Source organism: Homo sapiens, chromosome 4 (assembly GCF_000001405.40).
Source record: "Homo sapiens chromosome 4, GRCh38.p14 Primary Assembly".
NCBI classification, from domain to species: Eukaryota; Metazoa; Chordata; class Mammalia; order Primates; family Hominidae; genus Homo; species Homo sapiens.
Window position 1 is genome coordinate 75,640,667 of NC_000004.12, and position 16,508 is coordinate 75,657,174.

A 16,508-nucleotide genomic window follows, 5' to 3' on the forward strand; every position below is an offset into this window, starting at 1 on the left:
AGCCAGTGTAGTGCCTGGCCTAAATAGAACGATCCAGATAAATTTTGTGGGGAAAATAGACAAGGGACAGAAGGAACTAGTAGGGTATGGTGACAATAGAAAAACAGGAGCAGTGAGGCCGCGTGCGGTGGCTCACGCCTGTAATCCCAGCACTTTGGAAGGCCGAGGCAGGTGGATCACGTGAGGTCGGGAGTTCGAGATCAGCCTGGCCAACATGGGAAAACCCCGTCTCTACTAAAAATACAAAATTAGCTGGGCGTGGTGGCACGCGCCTGTAATCCCAGCCACTCGGGAAACTGAGGCAGGAGAATTGCTTGAACCTGGGAGACGGAGGTTGTGGTGAGCCAAGATCGAGCCATTGTACTCCAGCCTGGGCAATAAGAGCGAGACTCCATCTCAACAACAACAAAAAAAACCAGGAGCAGTTAAAATAATATTAATGTCACAAAAGTGAAAGCATTTCAAGGAGGCAGCCAGCTTCATCAAAATTTTAGAGGTCAGCCGGGTGCGGTGGCTCATGCCTGTAATCCCAGCACTTTAGGAGGCTGAGGGGGTGGGGGGCAGATCATGACGTCAGGAGATCGAGACCATCCTGGCTAACATGGTGAAACCGTCTCTACTAAAAGTACAAAAAGTTAGCCGGGCGTGGTGGCACACGCCTGTAGTCCCAGCTACTTGGGAGGCTGAGGCAGGAGAATTGCTTGAACCTGGGAGGTGGAGGTTGCAGTGAGTTGAGATCGCGCCACTGCACTCCAGCCTGGGCGACAGAGCAACACTCCATCTCAAAAAAAAAAAAAAAAAAAAAACTTTAGAGGTCAAAGACAAAGATCAGTTAATTTGGCCATTAACAGAAAGCTAGTAATGTTTCTGTTATTACTTAATTCTGAATCTGCACTTACAGTATTTTGCCCAATATTTGATAATGCTAAAAAGACTTTTGAAAAATTTCGTAAATTCTAAACTTCTTATATTTCCGAAGCATATGAAACATAATGTGTACAGGTACTACATAGATTAAAAGATTTTATTCCTTATCAAAAACTGCCAGAAACTTCATTATTTAGGAACTGATAATGTTGCAAATTATTTTCTATGTGAACATATTTAAATCACAAATTTCTTTCGTGACTTGTTTATCCAGTAATTGTAAATAAATAAAGAGCACTGGCATCAAACTGATCAAAACAGTCTTCTAACTAGGAAGTCTTATAAACACAAAATTAAAAAAAATCAAGGGTCTCTATTGATCTGTAGCTAAAATATAAGTTATGATGAGCAACTCAACCTCTTGAGTGGCTAAGGTTTTCAAATACGTTGTTCATATAAATTCCCGGGACCAAGTAATAATTTGCTCTTTTAAATTTGAACCTATTTTCAACAGTGTGAGATATACATTTTATCCCCTTTAAAAAATGTTTTTCCATTGCCAGAGTTGGATAAATTACATTATAATTAGAAGTCAGTTTACAAAAGGTTTAAGTCTTCCTTCCCCCCTAAGATGAAGCAATGGTTATTCTGGTTTCTCCCCAGTACAAGTTTGTGAAGACTGATTTAGAAATCTTAGAGTGTTATTAATAGCAGGTAAAATTCAACTATATCATCCCCTTTTAGGAAGGAAAAGGTTCAAGTTCTGAAATTACACATGCCTTAGGACCTCATTTTTCATTGAAAGCATGACTAAATATGGCTAATGGTTACATCAATATTTTTGGAGAGCTTGATAAATTAGTTCCAATTTCTGAACTTGAGTCATGTCCATTAACTTCAGGTAACCTCAATCTTCTCATCCCTTCCCTTCTCCTTTCTTGTGAGATGCAAGGCAGAAAATACTTTAGAAAATCCAAGGTTGTAATCTGCTTTAGATCATTCTCATCATTCTTACTACTTATTATTCTAACATTCAACCTGTATACCAGCAGTCTAACTGGACGGAATAGATCTCTTACAATGGTCAAGTGTTACTTAAATGTTTTACTTTTTTTATACGTATCAAATTTCACAAATAAATTGTTTTAAAACCCAACTGCTTATTATTCCCACTTAGTTTGTATGAAATGCAACTGGGAGAAAACATTTGGGAACAATAAAAACTATAGATTAAATTAGGGACATAGATAAATGCTGCAGACATCAGTAGTTTATTGTTTGTTTAGTCCAAACACATTCAATATGGAAACTCAAAGAATACTTTCCACCTGAAACAATTAAACTAGATTCTACTAGCATATAATGCTTAACACATTACAGCAATAAAGATGGTAATCCATTGTCTTCTATACCTACTAAAGCCAAGATGGTAAAGCCAATTTGGTTGCAATAGTGTCATAAGGATAGAATATTACCATCAAAAAATAAAACAAAATCAGCAAATAACAGTAATGGTAGATGAATATTTTTACTCTGTTTCACTGAAAAGAGGACAAAATGTTAAAACTCCACAGTACTGCAGGTGAACAATCACCATGTAAACTTCTCCATATGATGTTTTAATGTTTTATTCATGGTATGTAAAGACTGAAGCTGAATGGCTCTTTGCTCTACTTTTCTATTATTACACTTAACATTTGTCATTACTTTTGGTGCCAGAACAGTTTTCATGGATGGCAGGGCAATATCCTGAATTGGAAATTATATATATATATATATATATGGAAACAGAAATACAAGAAAATATGCTTGGGGGAAAAAAAACATTGACAATAAAACAACTGCTTCTTTAAAAGTAGTATTAATAAAGGCTTCAAAACTCCAAAGTAATTTTCTGGTAAGAATTTCAAGTACTATATCAGAAAGTATAAAACTGTTTCAAACAGAAAAAAAAAAAATCCTTAAGCCCCCCAAAAATGGAAACTATGAAAATCTGTGTCCCCAAAATATATGCAATAGTGCAAGACTTTCCCTCAAACATGGAAGACCTCATTCAAAGGGGGAAAAAGGGACAGATTTTACTCATATTGCCCAGTACATGAAAAACAAAATACATGCATCATTTGCTAGTTTACTAAATAGCAAACAGTTGCATAATTCAGAACCAATTTGCTACTATGTCAAGTGCATATCTTGTCTGTTTTACAAAGATAGAATGGAGAAGTCTTCCATGCTAACGAGCAGCTTTAAGTGGTCACACTTATTTACCCCACTCCTGCCTGAAACATCAGAAACTGGTATGTACTGACTGCTCCAAGCATAAAATTGGATAAGCTTTGCCATACTTGTGGTTTACTGGAACTTGCTATAAAGACAGACAATAATCCAGCAGCTACAAACTTTGCTCACAGAATTGTTTAAAGATTCATGTAAAAATAAAAGATGTCGTCCCAGACTTAAATTCAGGAGCCACTCGGGTGCTGACATCAGTTCAAGAATTGTGCAAAATGAATGACAGTTCCCTGCCCCCCAAATAGAAAATGCAAACACTTAAAGAGCTGCTGTTCTTTTCTCCGAAAATTGCAGTATCCTCACTTCAGGCTTACTTGCCATTTATAGAATCTGACTGCTTTTAAAATGTCACTAAAAATGTACGTCAAGTTGACTGACTTTTCCAAGCCCTGAAGTGATATGTTTCAACGTCCACATTCAGGCTAAGAGAAAAGTCAACTAGAGGCTTACTCAAATAACTGACTTCCTCCTTCCCTCTCCCCACAAACACACAGGACTCCCTCCCTCCCACAGAGAACACAAAGTTGTTAACTGAAGAACAAGATAAATAATATGCTAGTCCATTTTACTGATTTTAAAGATACTGCAATTTTTATACATTTCGATGATTTTTCAACATTTTGCAGCTGTTTGGCTTTGCAGCACAGCAATTCATACACTATACTGTACAAAATTACCAGCAAGACTGGAATGATGTATTAATAGAAGGCACCATCATGCTTATTACATTACCAGAGAACAAAAATACAGTAAAGACAATTTTCACTGTACACAGCTTAAAGAAAGGAAAAAAGGGGAGGAGGAGTGTGTTGAGCAGCCAGCCATCCCTGTACTGAAGAGGGGCAGGTAGAAAAATCTTAGATATGGAGCTACTAAATCTGGTCTAATAGTCAAGACCATCGCATTTGAAGTTCTAATTTTTATTATTTAGTTCATAACTAAAATGATTTCCTTCTGGAATATACTTGTAGTCTTGTTAAGGTTTATGTGTACACACGCTGGTCACAGCAAGCAGATAAAATGCCCTCATCATTTCACAAACTATTTTCTACTGGAAAAGAAGATGAGATTTTTTCCCTGTTGCCTCCTGTTGCAGATGTCAATGTTAATGAGTTCAGAGTACCCATTAGTACATTTTGATGAGTGCATAACAAGTTTCTGTTGGTTTGTATTTTTGGGGGGAGCCAAGAAAAAAGGCAAGATTCTCCAATTGCACAAATTGCACTATTTGTGTTCCCAGCATTAACAGGCAGAAACAGTAACACTTAAACAAAATGTGCAGCAGAAGATTTTTTTTTTACTCAAAGGACCTGAATTCAGTGGGCATGTCCTTTTAAGTTCACTTTGTCGTAGATAGTTTAAGATATGGTCATTTCTCAGTCCTTAATTCTCCAAGTCTAGATTTATAAATTAACAATGTGAATCCTGTTGTGAAATTGGGGAAATAATGTCCACCTCAATTTAACTGATAACCAAAGATGCTTTTCACATCAAAGAAATGATCAAAAAGGCTGTGTCACATTCCAAAGCCAAAAAAAAAATTAACAAGAATGCAAACACGATGAATAATGTACCACTGCCAAGACTTTGCCAACAGTGGAGCTTCAGCGACGCTGTCCTGTGAAGCGGCCCTCCATTTGCCCGGTTCCTCTTCCAGAGCCAAGTTTCTGTGCCATGCCACCCCTTGGAGGAGGTCCTCTTCCATCACGATCACGCATCATTCCACCACCCACAATTCCACGTGGACCACCGGGACCTCGATCATTGCGCCTAATATCCCTGCGATCATCACCACCACCTCTGGTTTCTCGCTCTCTTGCAGCTCTTGTTTTTTTCTCTTCCACATTTAAACGTACTTCCCCTCGAAACATAATCGGCTTTATAAAAGAGAAGAAAAATATTTACATGGGCAGGTTAGACAGCAATAGAAATGATTACTCTGAACAGGTCAGTCAGATAAGCATAAGGAATAAAACACTTTTATCAGCCCCCCACCCCCCAGAGATAGGGTCTCAGCTGTCACCCAGGCTGGTGACAGCCAGTGGCACAAGCATGGCTCACTGCAGCCTTGACATCCTGGGCTCAAGTGATACTCCCACCTCAGCCTCCTGAGTAGCTGGGATTATAGGTGTCTACCACCATGGCCGGCTATTTTTCTTTTTTTGTAGAGACAATGTCTCACTGTTGCCCAGGCTGGTCTTGAACTCTCCTGGGCTCAAGCAATCCTTCTGCCTTAACTTCCCAAAGTGCTGGGATTACAAGTGTGAGCCACTATACCCAGCCAAAATTCTTAACATGCAATCTTGCAATCTTTCCCACCTTCTTCAGCAAAGCAAGTAACAAAATTTAAAATGATCTGCAAACTAACAAATCTTTATTCTTTGCATAAATACCATTTAATAACTATTTTTAGCTTTATTATTAAAAGATTTTCTATGGTTTTTAAATACCCCAAATTAATATATACAACAGAAATAATAAAGTCTTGAATTATGCCCTTTAAATCACTTACTTTTGCAATTAAGATTCTCTGAACTGGTTCAGAGTCATCAAAAACCACAAAACCAAAATTTGGAAGCTTTCCCCCAACACCCTTGGTATTGATGCGAAGTTCCACAACGTTTCCAAAACCTGTGAAAATATACATTACATCAAGGGTTAAATATTTTTAACAGAATACCTTGATGGCTCTAATTGTTCAGGATGAATATCGTTATCTCCCCGATCCATTTTAAAATAAAACTCGCAAGCTTCTACACACAGTGATAGCCAAGGTACGTTTACTCAAGCAGGCAATCCCCTAAGATACCAAGTAGCCTGCCCGCCTGCTGTGTTACCTTTCTGCATCTTTGGTAGTCCTTTCATAAGTAAAGTTAACTGCATAATTTTGGAAAGACAATGTATTTTCTCCTAATATATTGACCCATTTGCCAAATGAATCCTTTATCTCTGAATTTATGACTGATTTATCCAGCTGTTTCTTCTAAACACTACTGAGCCAGGCCAAATCAACACTAAGCAGTCACTGAGAAACATGTGAGATAAGTCATCTACTCCCTTCTGCACAATTAAGGTGGGTCTGGTAGCTGGACACAGTATAAAGAGAGAAACATTTAAAAAAAATAGTTATTAAAAAAGCTCCATATGCCTCTTGCTTAATTTAAAATAATTTAAAAACTCCAACAGCAAAATAAATCACTTACTCATGAAGAATTCCTTTAGCTCATTTTCATCAATATCATGTGGCAAGTTACCAACAAAAAGTTGATGACTATCTGGATAGCGAATTATTCTACGGTTGTCAGAGTCATTCTGTTCCATATCTCCTCTGCCTGAGAATAGAAATAGAGCAGATACTAAAGTTTACAATATCATAAAAACTACTTCAAAGGAGTGAATGTAAAAATCACTTAATATTGATATTCCTGTTTTAGTTTAATAAGACTAGGTGAGCTTCTTGAAAAAGAGGCAAAAGTACTTATTACTAGTAGGTTAGAAAACAGCATGACACTAAAATGTAAAGTGAGGACAATGACTAGGTTGCTAAAATAGCTTCTTCTAGATCTACTGGATTATACAAAAATCAAATATTAGTACTACAGGTATTCCTCCTTAACCAAACTGTTGCCATCACCCAGGAACCAAGCAGATTTCAGATAGTGAGGTATAGCTTACTAAATATTTGCTTAGTTTTTTGAAATTCAAAATTCTTTGGCTTTATGACATTACAGCAATCAGTAAATTTTAACAGCAATCATCACATTTATGCAGTCTATACATATTAAGTGTGTATGTATATAGATATACATAAAATCTTATTTGATTCTCCCAATAACACAAGGAACACAGTGAGGAAAATAGGCAATACAAGAATAATTTGTGTAATATTTGACATAAAAGAAGCTCAGAATTTAAGGGTTTCACTCAAGATCCCAAGTTTAATCACTGACAAATTTAGGACTTCTAGTTTGGTAACATATCACTTTAAAAATTCACATTGTAAATGTGATATATACTATCTCCATCTCTCCCATCTCCTCCCCAAAGCAATCTAAACATTCTTACAGAGTTCAAATAAAAGTATTACATGTGTAGCTAACAAGGTAAACAAGTCAAAAATCATGGCAACTTACTTAATACCTAAGAATCAAAATGGGCTTATTGTTTATCTGTAAAGAGATAAGACTGCTAAGAGAGTAGGTTATTGGCAGCTTGGTTTTGAACTCTTAAAACCAGTGACTAGGCCGGGCACAGTGGCTCATGCCTGTAATCCCAGCACTTTGGGAGGACGAGTAGGGCAGATCATGAGGTCAGCAGATCGAGACCATCTTGGCCAACATGGTGAAACCCTGTCTCTACTAAAATACAGAAAATTAGCTGGGCCTGGTGGCGTGTGCCTGTAATCCCAGCTACTTGGGAGGCTGAGGCAAGGGAATCATTTGAACCCGGGAGACAGAGGTTGCAGTGAGCTGAGATCACGCCATTGTACTCCAGCCTGGCGACAGAGCAAGACTCCGTCTCAAAAAAAAAACAAACAAACAAAAAAAAAAAACAAAAAACCGTGACAATAACCAAATAAGACTTAAGTCTTTTACACCTTCAAAATATGTCACCATGGCATGTCAACCAATCCTCCCTAAAAATTGGTTATTTGGCCCCAGACACTATTTAGCAGGTTGCTCACATCACATCTTTAAGCAATTTGAGACTATATGGGTCTGTGTATAGAACGCATCATAGTTTTTTGTTTAAGTTCAGTCTTTTACAGCCTTACAAATGTTAAATGCTAAAGGCTATAAAGGAGCTGACTCACCTGGTCTTGGTCCTCTAGGAGGAAAACCAGGTCGTTCTCTAGGTCGTTGTTCACGCACACGAGGTGGCTGAGATTGAACTTCTGGTTTAGCTTCGACTCTTGGCTAAAATATAAAGAAAAAAAAACATTATAAAAAACACTCCACTGGAGAAAAACCAACCAAAGCACCTAACGACAAGTCACTAGCAGACATAACAGTAGTTTTAAGTTTAGAATGTTTTTAACATAGTGTCCTATGTATGAGAAAAATAAATTTTTATCAAGATATTCTGTACCAATCTAGGACTGTAGGTAGCTTTTGTTTTCCCACTTAATGCTGTGTAACTCACAATAAGTTGCTTTTTACAGTCACATTTTTTCATTAAAGTTATATCAACACTGAAATAGCATAAAAGGTATTGCTACCAAAAAAAAAAATCACAAAAATGCAAGATGAACCACTCCATGTAAATACATAAACAAAATTAAAAGCCATCTTCATCTTAGACAAGAATACATAACACATAATTTCTGAAAATCTAATTTGCTATCCTTCAAATGTAACAGTGCTCAGTAGTATTGCCTAAATCTCTGCCCATAACCTTAAAATCAGTATTTTTATAGTTCAAAGTATAAAAATTAGCTTGCTCTAACACCTGAAATTGCTACCTGTAAGGTTAAAATGCATGTTAAAAAAATGACAGAAACTTATAGGAACTTGTATGTAGCATCTCAAATAGTTAAAGTCCTTTAGCTCCCTACTGTTCTTCCTTATGAGAAAAATATGCATTTGAAGTATTGGTCCCAACGATTTTCCTTAACTAGGGGTCTGGGAGTAATAGGACAGTTTAAGATGCCTCCCAAAAGTTTCTGCCAACTGCTGAATTAAACATATAATTATTTTTAAAACAAAATTACATCGGCGTCTGCTATTACCTTTTCCTCAAGACAACAGCATTTTCAGTATTCCCAACCTCTTCAGACCTTCTACTACCCAAATATTTATGGTCCAAGGAGAGACAAATATATGAGCCTACAAAGGATGCTGAAAACACCCAACAGGATATGGAGAACATGTCCTCAACTCAGAAAGCTAGTAATTTCAGTCCCATCTTTAAAGATGGTCATCTCCATGTAATCCCAGCACTTTGGGAGGCCAAGCTGCGCGGATCACCTGAGGTCAGGAGTTTGAGACCAGCCTGCCCAATATGGCGAAACCCAGTCTCTACTAAAAATACAAAAAATTAGCTGGGTGTGGTGGCAGGCACCTGTAACCCCAGCTACTTGGGAGGCTGAGGCAGGAGAATCGCTTGAACCCGGAAGACGGAGGTTGCAGTGAGCCAAGATCACGCCACTGCACTCCAGCCTGGGCAACAAGAGTGAAACTCCTTCTCACAGAAATAAATAAGTAAATAAATAAAAAAGTGGTCATCTCTGAGGACCTCAGTCCATGCAGCGGCTCAAACTCTTTAATCATTTATATAACAGATATTGTAATTTACAAGGACAAATTCTGACACAAAAATGCTTCCTTCAGCCAGGCACAGTAGCTCATGCCTATCACCCCAGCACTTTGGGAGGCCGAGGCGGGCAGATCACCTGAGGTCGGGAGTTCGAGACCAGCCTGACTAACATGGAGAAACCCTGTCTCTACTAAAAATACAAAATCAGCCGGGTGTGGTGGCACATGCCTGTAATCCCAGCTACTAGGGAGGCTGAGGCAGGAGAATCACTTGAACCTGGGAGGCGGAGGTTGCGTGAGCAGATCATTGTACTCCAGCCTGGGCAACAAGAGAGAAACTCCATCTCAAAAAAAAAAAAAAAAAAAGCTTCTTTCAAAAATGACAATTTAATGTAAATGATTTCAGCCACTGTAACCAAAAGGAATATTAACTCCTATGCTAACAGTTTAACCAAGTTTGCCTGCCTCTTCCTAAATTCTGTTTTCCTCTATGTCAATGTCCTATTTCCCTCAAGATGAAGTTGCTTACCATATTCTAGAATTCTACTAGTTATAAAATGAATATTTTTAACTCTCTCCAGGTTTTGTTGTTATTTATATGTATTTACTCCTATAAAGTCTGTATCTTTTATTTTTTTAGAGAGACACAGTCTTACTCTATTGCCCAGGCTGGAGTGCAGTGGCACAATCATAGCTCACTGTAACCTCAAATTCCTAGGCTCAAGTGATCCTCCTGCCTCAGCCTCCCAAGCAGCTGAGACTACAGGCACGCCAGTGCCCAAGGCCCATATCTTAACTTACTTTTACATCACCCAAAGAACCAAGCACAGTGCTATTAGACACAGATGTTCAGTAACTATTTGTTCATTTAAATTAAATTACATTTTTAGTTCTCTGACCCAAAACATGCAGGATAATGTTCTATGTCTGACAAAGATACGTAAGTGACAGCCCTGAGACCACCGCTATCTGTATTTGGGGTTTAATTCTATATAATAATTTGATGCAAAATGTGATGCTGAAAAAGGCAGTTATTTAGAAACTTCAACTAAGGGGGTCTAAAGGCATACTTCAGTATGAATATAAACAGAATTAGAGAATAAACGTACTCTGTCAAAGTTTAATAAAGTGAGTGTATTACTGGCAATTAATAAAAACACTAAATGCACCTTTATTACAAAATTTAAGAAAAACCTTAGACTCATTCAATCCAAATGTTATCAAAGAACTTGAGGCCCTGGTCTTGACTGATTTAAATTCTTTTCAAAACAGATTATCAAAACACGAGTAACTACAAGTAGCAAAATAAAGTTCTTCCTTATTCTTTAAGGATGAAAATTAAAAACAGATAAAGTTAAATATTAATAATTTCCAACATCTTACAAATAATTCATGCCATTGATTTAGGAATCTGACTTTAAGTAGATATCTGATGATGCCAGTTTAAGAAAAATACAAGAACAAAAAGCTAACACTGTCCCTTTCAGTAACTGATTGACATATGTTAACTAAGTCAGCTGCATACTTATAATTCTTCAGGTCTCCAGTTTCATGATTAAAACTAGTTTTTCTGAACAGATAACATGGCCAATATGCCACACAGTAGAGGGCCTTAAAATTAATTCCATGCAACCAGAAAGTATGATCAAATGACAAACCCACAAATGAAGGTCAAACAGAATATGAAGTAAGTACAGAACCATCAAATCAAGTCAATAAAAGCAGGTATAACCACAAATAATAAGCCCTTCAATTAAACATAAGCTTTGTAGGTGAACTAGTCAATTTCCAGACAAAATATTTTATTCAAGAAATTAACTTACCTACTTCTAAGTTAATGCCTACCAATACCCTGGAATTAACTTCCTTTTATCAATAATCTATGTTCAAAGTACAAGGAAATGAATACTACACAAAAGTAACAAACTAAAATTGAAGGATTATTAAATCAAGTAGAAATATCATGAATCCATTTTAAGTATAGCCTAAAGACATTAGAACGTTCTTTTAAAGTTTAAATTCTAAACATTTAAAATTTTTGTTTTATTAAAGGGGTGGCATAGGAAATACAACTTCATTTCCTACAACTAACTTTGAAAATATATTTAAGGCAAACTACTTGAGATAAATATGAAGGTATTTTTCTGGGCAAGAGACTAGGATTTAATCAGGCATGTCTTAAGAGTCCTCTTTGATGCAAATACAGATAAGATACATGACTCTGCAGCAAGGTGCTGGAGAATTGCATAAGGTTTACATGAGGCTGGGCGCAGTGGCTCATGCCTGTAATCCCCACCGTTTGGGAGGCCAATGCGGGTGGATCACTTGGGTCAGGAGTTTGAGACCAGCCTGGTCTACATGGTGAAACCCCGTCTCTACTAAATATACAAAAATTAGCCAGGCGTGGTGGCGGGCACCTACAATCCCAGCTATTCGGGAGGCTGAGGCAGGAGAATCACTTGAGCTGGGGAGGTGGAGGTTGCAGTGAGCTAAGATAACGCCACTGCCACTACCACTGCACTCCAGCCTGGGCGACAGAGCGAGACTCTGTCTCAAAAAAATAAACGTTTACATGAGCCACATATGGACTCATGTCCCACTGCATGACTTCAAAGCCCAACCCTACTATGTACATAAATGTCTGTGAGTTACTCTAGACCTCAATTTTTTGATCTCTAAAACAGAAACAATAGTACCCACCCTGACAGGGTGGTTGTGAGGATTCACTGAAAATGAACAAAAAGTGCTTCACACAATGCTTGGCGCATATCAAAGGCATAAGCACTAGCTATTTTAACTTTTAACTGTTTAAACTCTCTGAAATGAAATAATCCAAAGGTTCCAAATCCAAATCTGATAGGAAATGAAGATTCCAAAAGAAGGGCCAAAAGTTATTTATTGGGTCTTCATATGGGTAGAAAAGCACAAAACAATACTGCACAAACTAATTTCCTTTGTTAAGATGGAACTCTGGGTGACCATCTTACATAAGGGTAACCACGCATTGCCTGAATACCCAAATGAAAAAAAAAAAAAAGTATCACGGGCGTATTCTACTTTTATGTAGCTGATTATGTGTCCCAACACCAAAAAACTAAAAATTACTACTTTTAAAACCTCAAAATTTCACTGCTTAGAACATATAAAAGATACATTTATATACTAACATTTCAAACATAAATTTTCTAGTGGAATGAAGTTTAATGCAAAATGTAGGGAAAAAATTGGACACCCTTTATATGCTGATAAACTTAATTAGAATTTAGTTCATTCTAAACTAAATCTAACAAACTTCTTAGGTAGGCAGTGTCTTATTTTCACATTTTTGAAAGCTCTGAAATGGGTAAGATGACAAACAGACAAAAAGCAGAATACTAGAATGATCAGTTAAGGTGAACACTACAGTCATAAGTTGGTACAGGCTTCAATTAAGTGGTGTGAACCACTTACACACTGAGAGCTTAGGCAGCGTATGTTAAAAAGTTTCCTGGTTTTTTTTTTTTTTGCTTTAAAAAAAAAAAAAAAAACAAAAACGATTCTTTATTACGCCACACTACTTTGTGCCTCTCCGAATTTCTTACCTAAAATATTTTTGCTAAATAGAATTTGAAGCTTTTGAAAAAGGAACATTCTTTTTGTTATTTTAAGAAGCCTTTTAAATGACAATATTATATACTGGTAAAAACCAACTTAATCTGTATTTCACACACCCAAACCCCAAATACCACCTATGTAGATGATGAATGGAGATTTGACATTTAAAGTGGGTGCACTGACATATAATACAAGTTTTTTGTATATTTAATCCATAATTTCTGATTGACTCATTTTTAAAAGTATTTTAAAAATAAGCAATTGGCAATGTAACAAGGATACAATCCAATGTGTTCACAGATTGGTTACCTGTGAGACTGGTGCTTTAACATGGGGTGGAATTCCAGAGGAAGAAACAGTACCACTAGGAGGCAGGTTTTTACTGGTCACTGAAGCCCAGGAGAAAGCCTGCAGGAAATGCAACAAACCTAGACTACTAATCATGGAAAACCACCAACATTCCTATAGGGAAACTTCCAAATATATATTTTCTTTTCATTTCTAAACTATTGCTCTATATTGGAAGACTCCTAAAAGAAAGGCACACACACACATGCCAGTCTATGTGCCAGCTTTCAAAATCTCATTATGCAAGCTTATTTATAACTTTTGTCTGACTACTAAGTAAAACCATAAGCAAGTTCCTACGTACTCTAAGTAGATGAGCAAGTGGCAAACAAAACCACTAACAAACATGCTAGAAAAACCTGAACCTAATAGAAACAATTTATTTCCCCTTTGGGGGTAAGATAGGGTGTGTGATGGTGTTAACGGGAGAGGGAAGGATAGGAAAGAAGAGAGTATTAGCTGGAAACTCTGACATTCACAAATTGAACAAAGAATCTCCTCCTATCACCACTCAAATATACTTTAACCTTTGACTTTGAAGAAAGATAAAAGAAGTTTCAGGTAGGCTTACATGATACACTAAGGATGTCACTCATCTTTCCAAGATAGTTTAATTGGTGTAGAAAGGAAACTGATCCCATTTAAACCACAAACAACAGGTATCTCTTCTTTTAATTATAGACCAACTTGTTTAAGTTGGGAAACTGCATGATTCCTGGTGCATCTGTGCTCAGAGAATTTAATACAGAATGAAAGAACAACTGACAGCTCTATACATGGATCCAAATAATTTCATATAAGTTACTAAACAATGCATACAGACAAGGATTCATCTTAAGTTATAAGTTTCACTCTTAGAGGGGTATTTTGCGGGGCAGGGAAACAATAACATTTTCTCAGGTAACAAACAAACCCCACAGCTTCTTTCATATACATAAAATAATTTACTAAACAATTTAACATAATAGAAAAAGGTCATACTTCATTAACAGCACCAAATTTGAACATGTGATGTTGTAAGTCTAAAGAGTTCTTTGATCTAACCTTTGGTGGTTCTTGTGGCAGAGAAACAGGTTCTGCCGGAGGAGGAGTAGTAGATTTCTCCTCTAGTTCTTCTAAGTTCTTCTCCTCCACTTGTGGTTTCAGCTCTTCAGTCTTTGTTTCAGATTCTGGCTCAGGTTCAGGTTCATGAGAGGATTCTTCCAAAGGCTCCTCTATGCCATTACTACAATAAAATATTTAGTTCACTTTTTAGTAGGAGTTCAAGTAAGAAAAAATTCAATTTCTCTCTAATCCAATGGGTGTAACTAGTTATATGCCAATAACTTGTTCTAGATCTACAAAGTATTCAAAGCAAAATTCCAAAAAGAGCTATAAGACAGAAGGAATAATACTCTCAAGTAGCAGTTCTTTAATCCCACCATTTCAAAACTGAATTACTAAGAATGTTTACTTTAGTGCTAACTATAAACCTTATCTTTTATAAAAATAAAATGCTTACTCTGTGTTGTCTTCAACACTCTACATTATCAGTAAGGAACCACTGTTTTGGTGCAAGCCATGTTCAATTTTTGTATTAAATAAAACCATTCTTTCCAAATTTCTTGCATATACACAATAGGTACTCAAATACTGACATAATAGGTGGTTTTATCAAGAATTTACTTTCAACAATAATTCTAGGAACAGAAACCACCTTGCTGACATAGTTCAGACCAAATTTAACCTTGCAAATAGTATGCTTACGTCACAGGGTGAGCTTCATAGTAACCACTGTTAGCATTTTCTTGCACAGGTTCAGGAGATGGTTGTCTTTCTTCTTGTTCCTCTTCTACTTCATCTTCTGATTCTGAAAATACATAATACAGCACATCTTTTTTAAAGAGGCTTCACAATTTCTAACGGACATATTTTTAACATGTTTAAGGAAGTGGTATGATAGCAAAAAAGAAAATTTGACAATTTTCTTTCCTTTTTTTTTTTTTTTGAGATGGAGTCTTGTTCTGTTGCCCAGGCTGGAGTGCAGTGGTGTGATCTTGGCTCACTGCAACCTCCGCCTTCTGGGTTCAAACGATTCTCCTGCCTCAGCCTCTTGAGTAGCTGGGGTTATAGGTATGCACCATCATGCCCAGCTAATTTTTTTTTTTTAAGTAGAGATGGGGTTTTCACTGCATTGGCCAGGCTGGTCCCGAACTCCTGGCCTCAAGTGATCCACCCGCCCTGGCCTCCCAAAACACTGGGATTCCGGGCATGAGCCACCGCGCTCGGCTCCAATTTTTTTTTTTTTAATAACAAAGGCATTCAACTACAATATCCCCTGTTCTCTCAAAAACTGGAGAGCAAGGATGAAGTTTAATATTTATTGTACTCTATTAGAAAAAAACAAATCTTTCAGTAAAAGGAAAAAAGTTATATTAAAGCCACAATTTAGCTTCCTTTGTAACATATATTTAATAGAGCAATAATGATAAAGAAACTAACCACTGTACATCAATGGAAGATCAATTAAATAATTACGGCATAGCCACAACATAGACAGCCAACAAAGACATATTATTACATTAAAAAAAAGGAAGCTTTGAGTCAGTGTAATTCCACATTTATAAAAATACATGTTGCCAAGTATAGAATCCAAAAACCTTCTCCAATAGGCACCAAACTTGGTTATCTACAGAGGATGAGACTGAGGGGAACCTTTTTCCTTGACATCCAAATTTTGTATATTTTCAAACAATGGACATCTTTTTGTAACAACGACAACAACAACAAAACCATGAAAAAAGGATGTTTGACACAGTTACAATAAAGCAGCAAATTTCCGTAGATGTCATACTTATAGAAATTAGTCCATAAAGAGTACCAACAGAACCCTTCTATCTTCATATCTTCAAAGTAACCTCACCTTCATCAAGTTCAGGCTCAGAATCACCAAACACTTCATCTTCATAACGAAACATATCATTGTGAACATAAAATTTATTTGGAACAGATCCCTATAGGAAACAACATTTATTCCATAAATATCCAGAAATCTGGTATTATATAAAAGAGCAAATTACATGGCATACACAATTTCTCATTTTAATACTAGAGATCTTGACTCAATATAATTTTCCAATGCTGAACATGCTATGATGTTTATATAAAATAAAA

General features: G+C 36.7%; 1 protein-coding gene across 26 annotated transcripts in view; it reads right to left on the reverse strand.

Moving 5' to 3' along the window:
• Positions 1 to 2,119: 2,119 nt before the first annotated feature.
• Positions 2,120 to 16,508, reverse strand: part of G3BP2 (G3BP stress granule assembly factor 2) — an 81,652-nt gene continuing 67,263 nt past the window's right edge. For 12 of the 26 annotated variants that reach the window (NM_001400004.1, NM_001400007.1, NM_001400005.1 and 9 more), the window contains 8 exons: positions 16,258 to 16,348; positions 15,102 to 15,204; positions 14,400 to 14,580; positions 13,317 to 13,415; positions 7,973 to 8,075; positions 6,363 to 6,491; positions 5,672 to 5,790; positions 2,120 to 5,036 (listed from right to left, as the gene is read on the reverse strand). In NM_001400004.1, coding sequence (NP_001386933.1) covers positions 4,764 to 5,036; positions 5,672 to 5,790; positions 6,363 to 6,491; positions 7,973 to 8,075; positions 13,317 to 13,415; positions 14,400 to 14,580; positions 15,102 to 15,204; positions 16,258 to 16,348 — 1,098 coding nt within the window. In that variant the 3' untranslated portion in view covers positions 2,120 to 4,763. The remainder of the gene's footprint in view (positions 5,037 to 5,671; positions 5,791 to 6,362; positions 6,492 to 7,972; positions 8,076 to 13,316; positions 13,416 to 14,399; positions 14,581 to 15,101; positions 15,205 to 16,257; positions 16,349 to 16,508) is intronic. The other 14 variants (NM_001400017.1, NM_001400014.1, NM_001400016.1 and 11 more) reach the window with 3 other exon arrangements.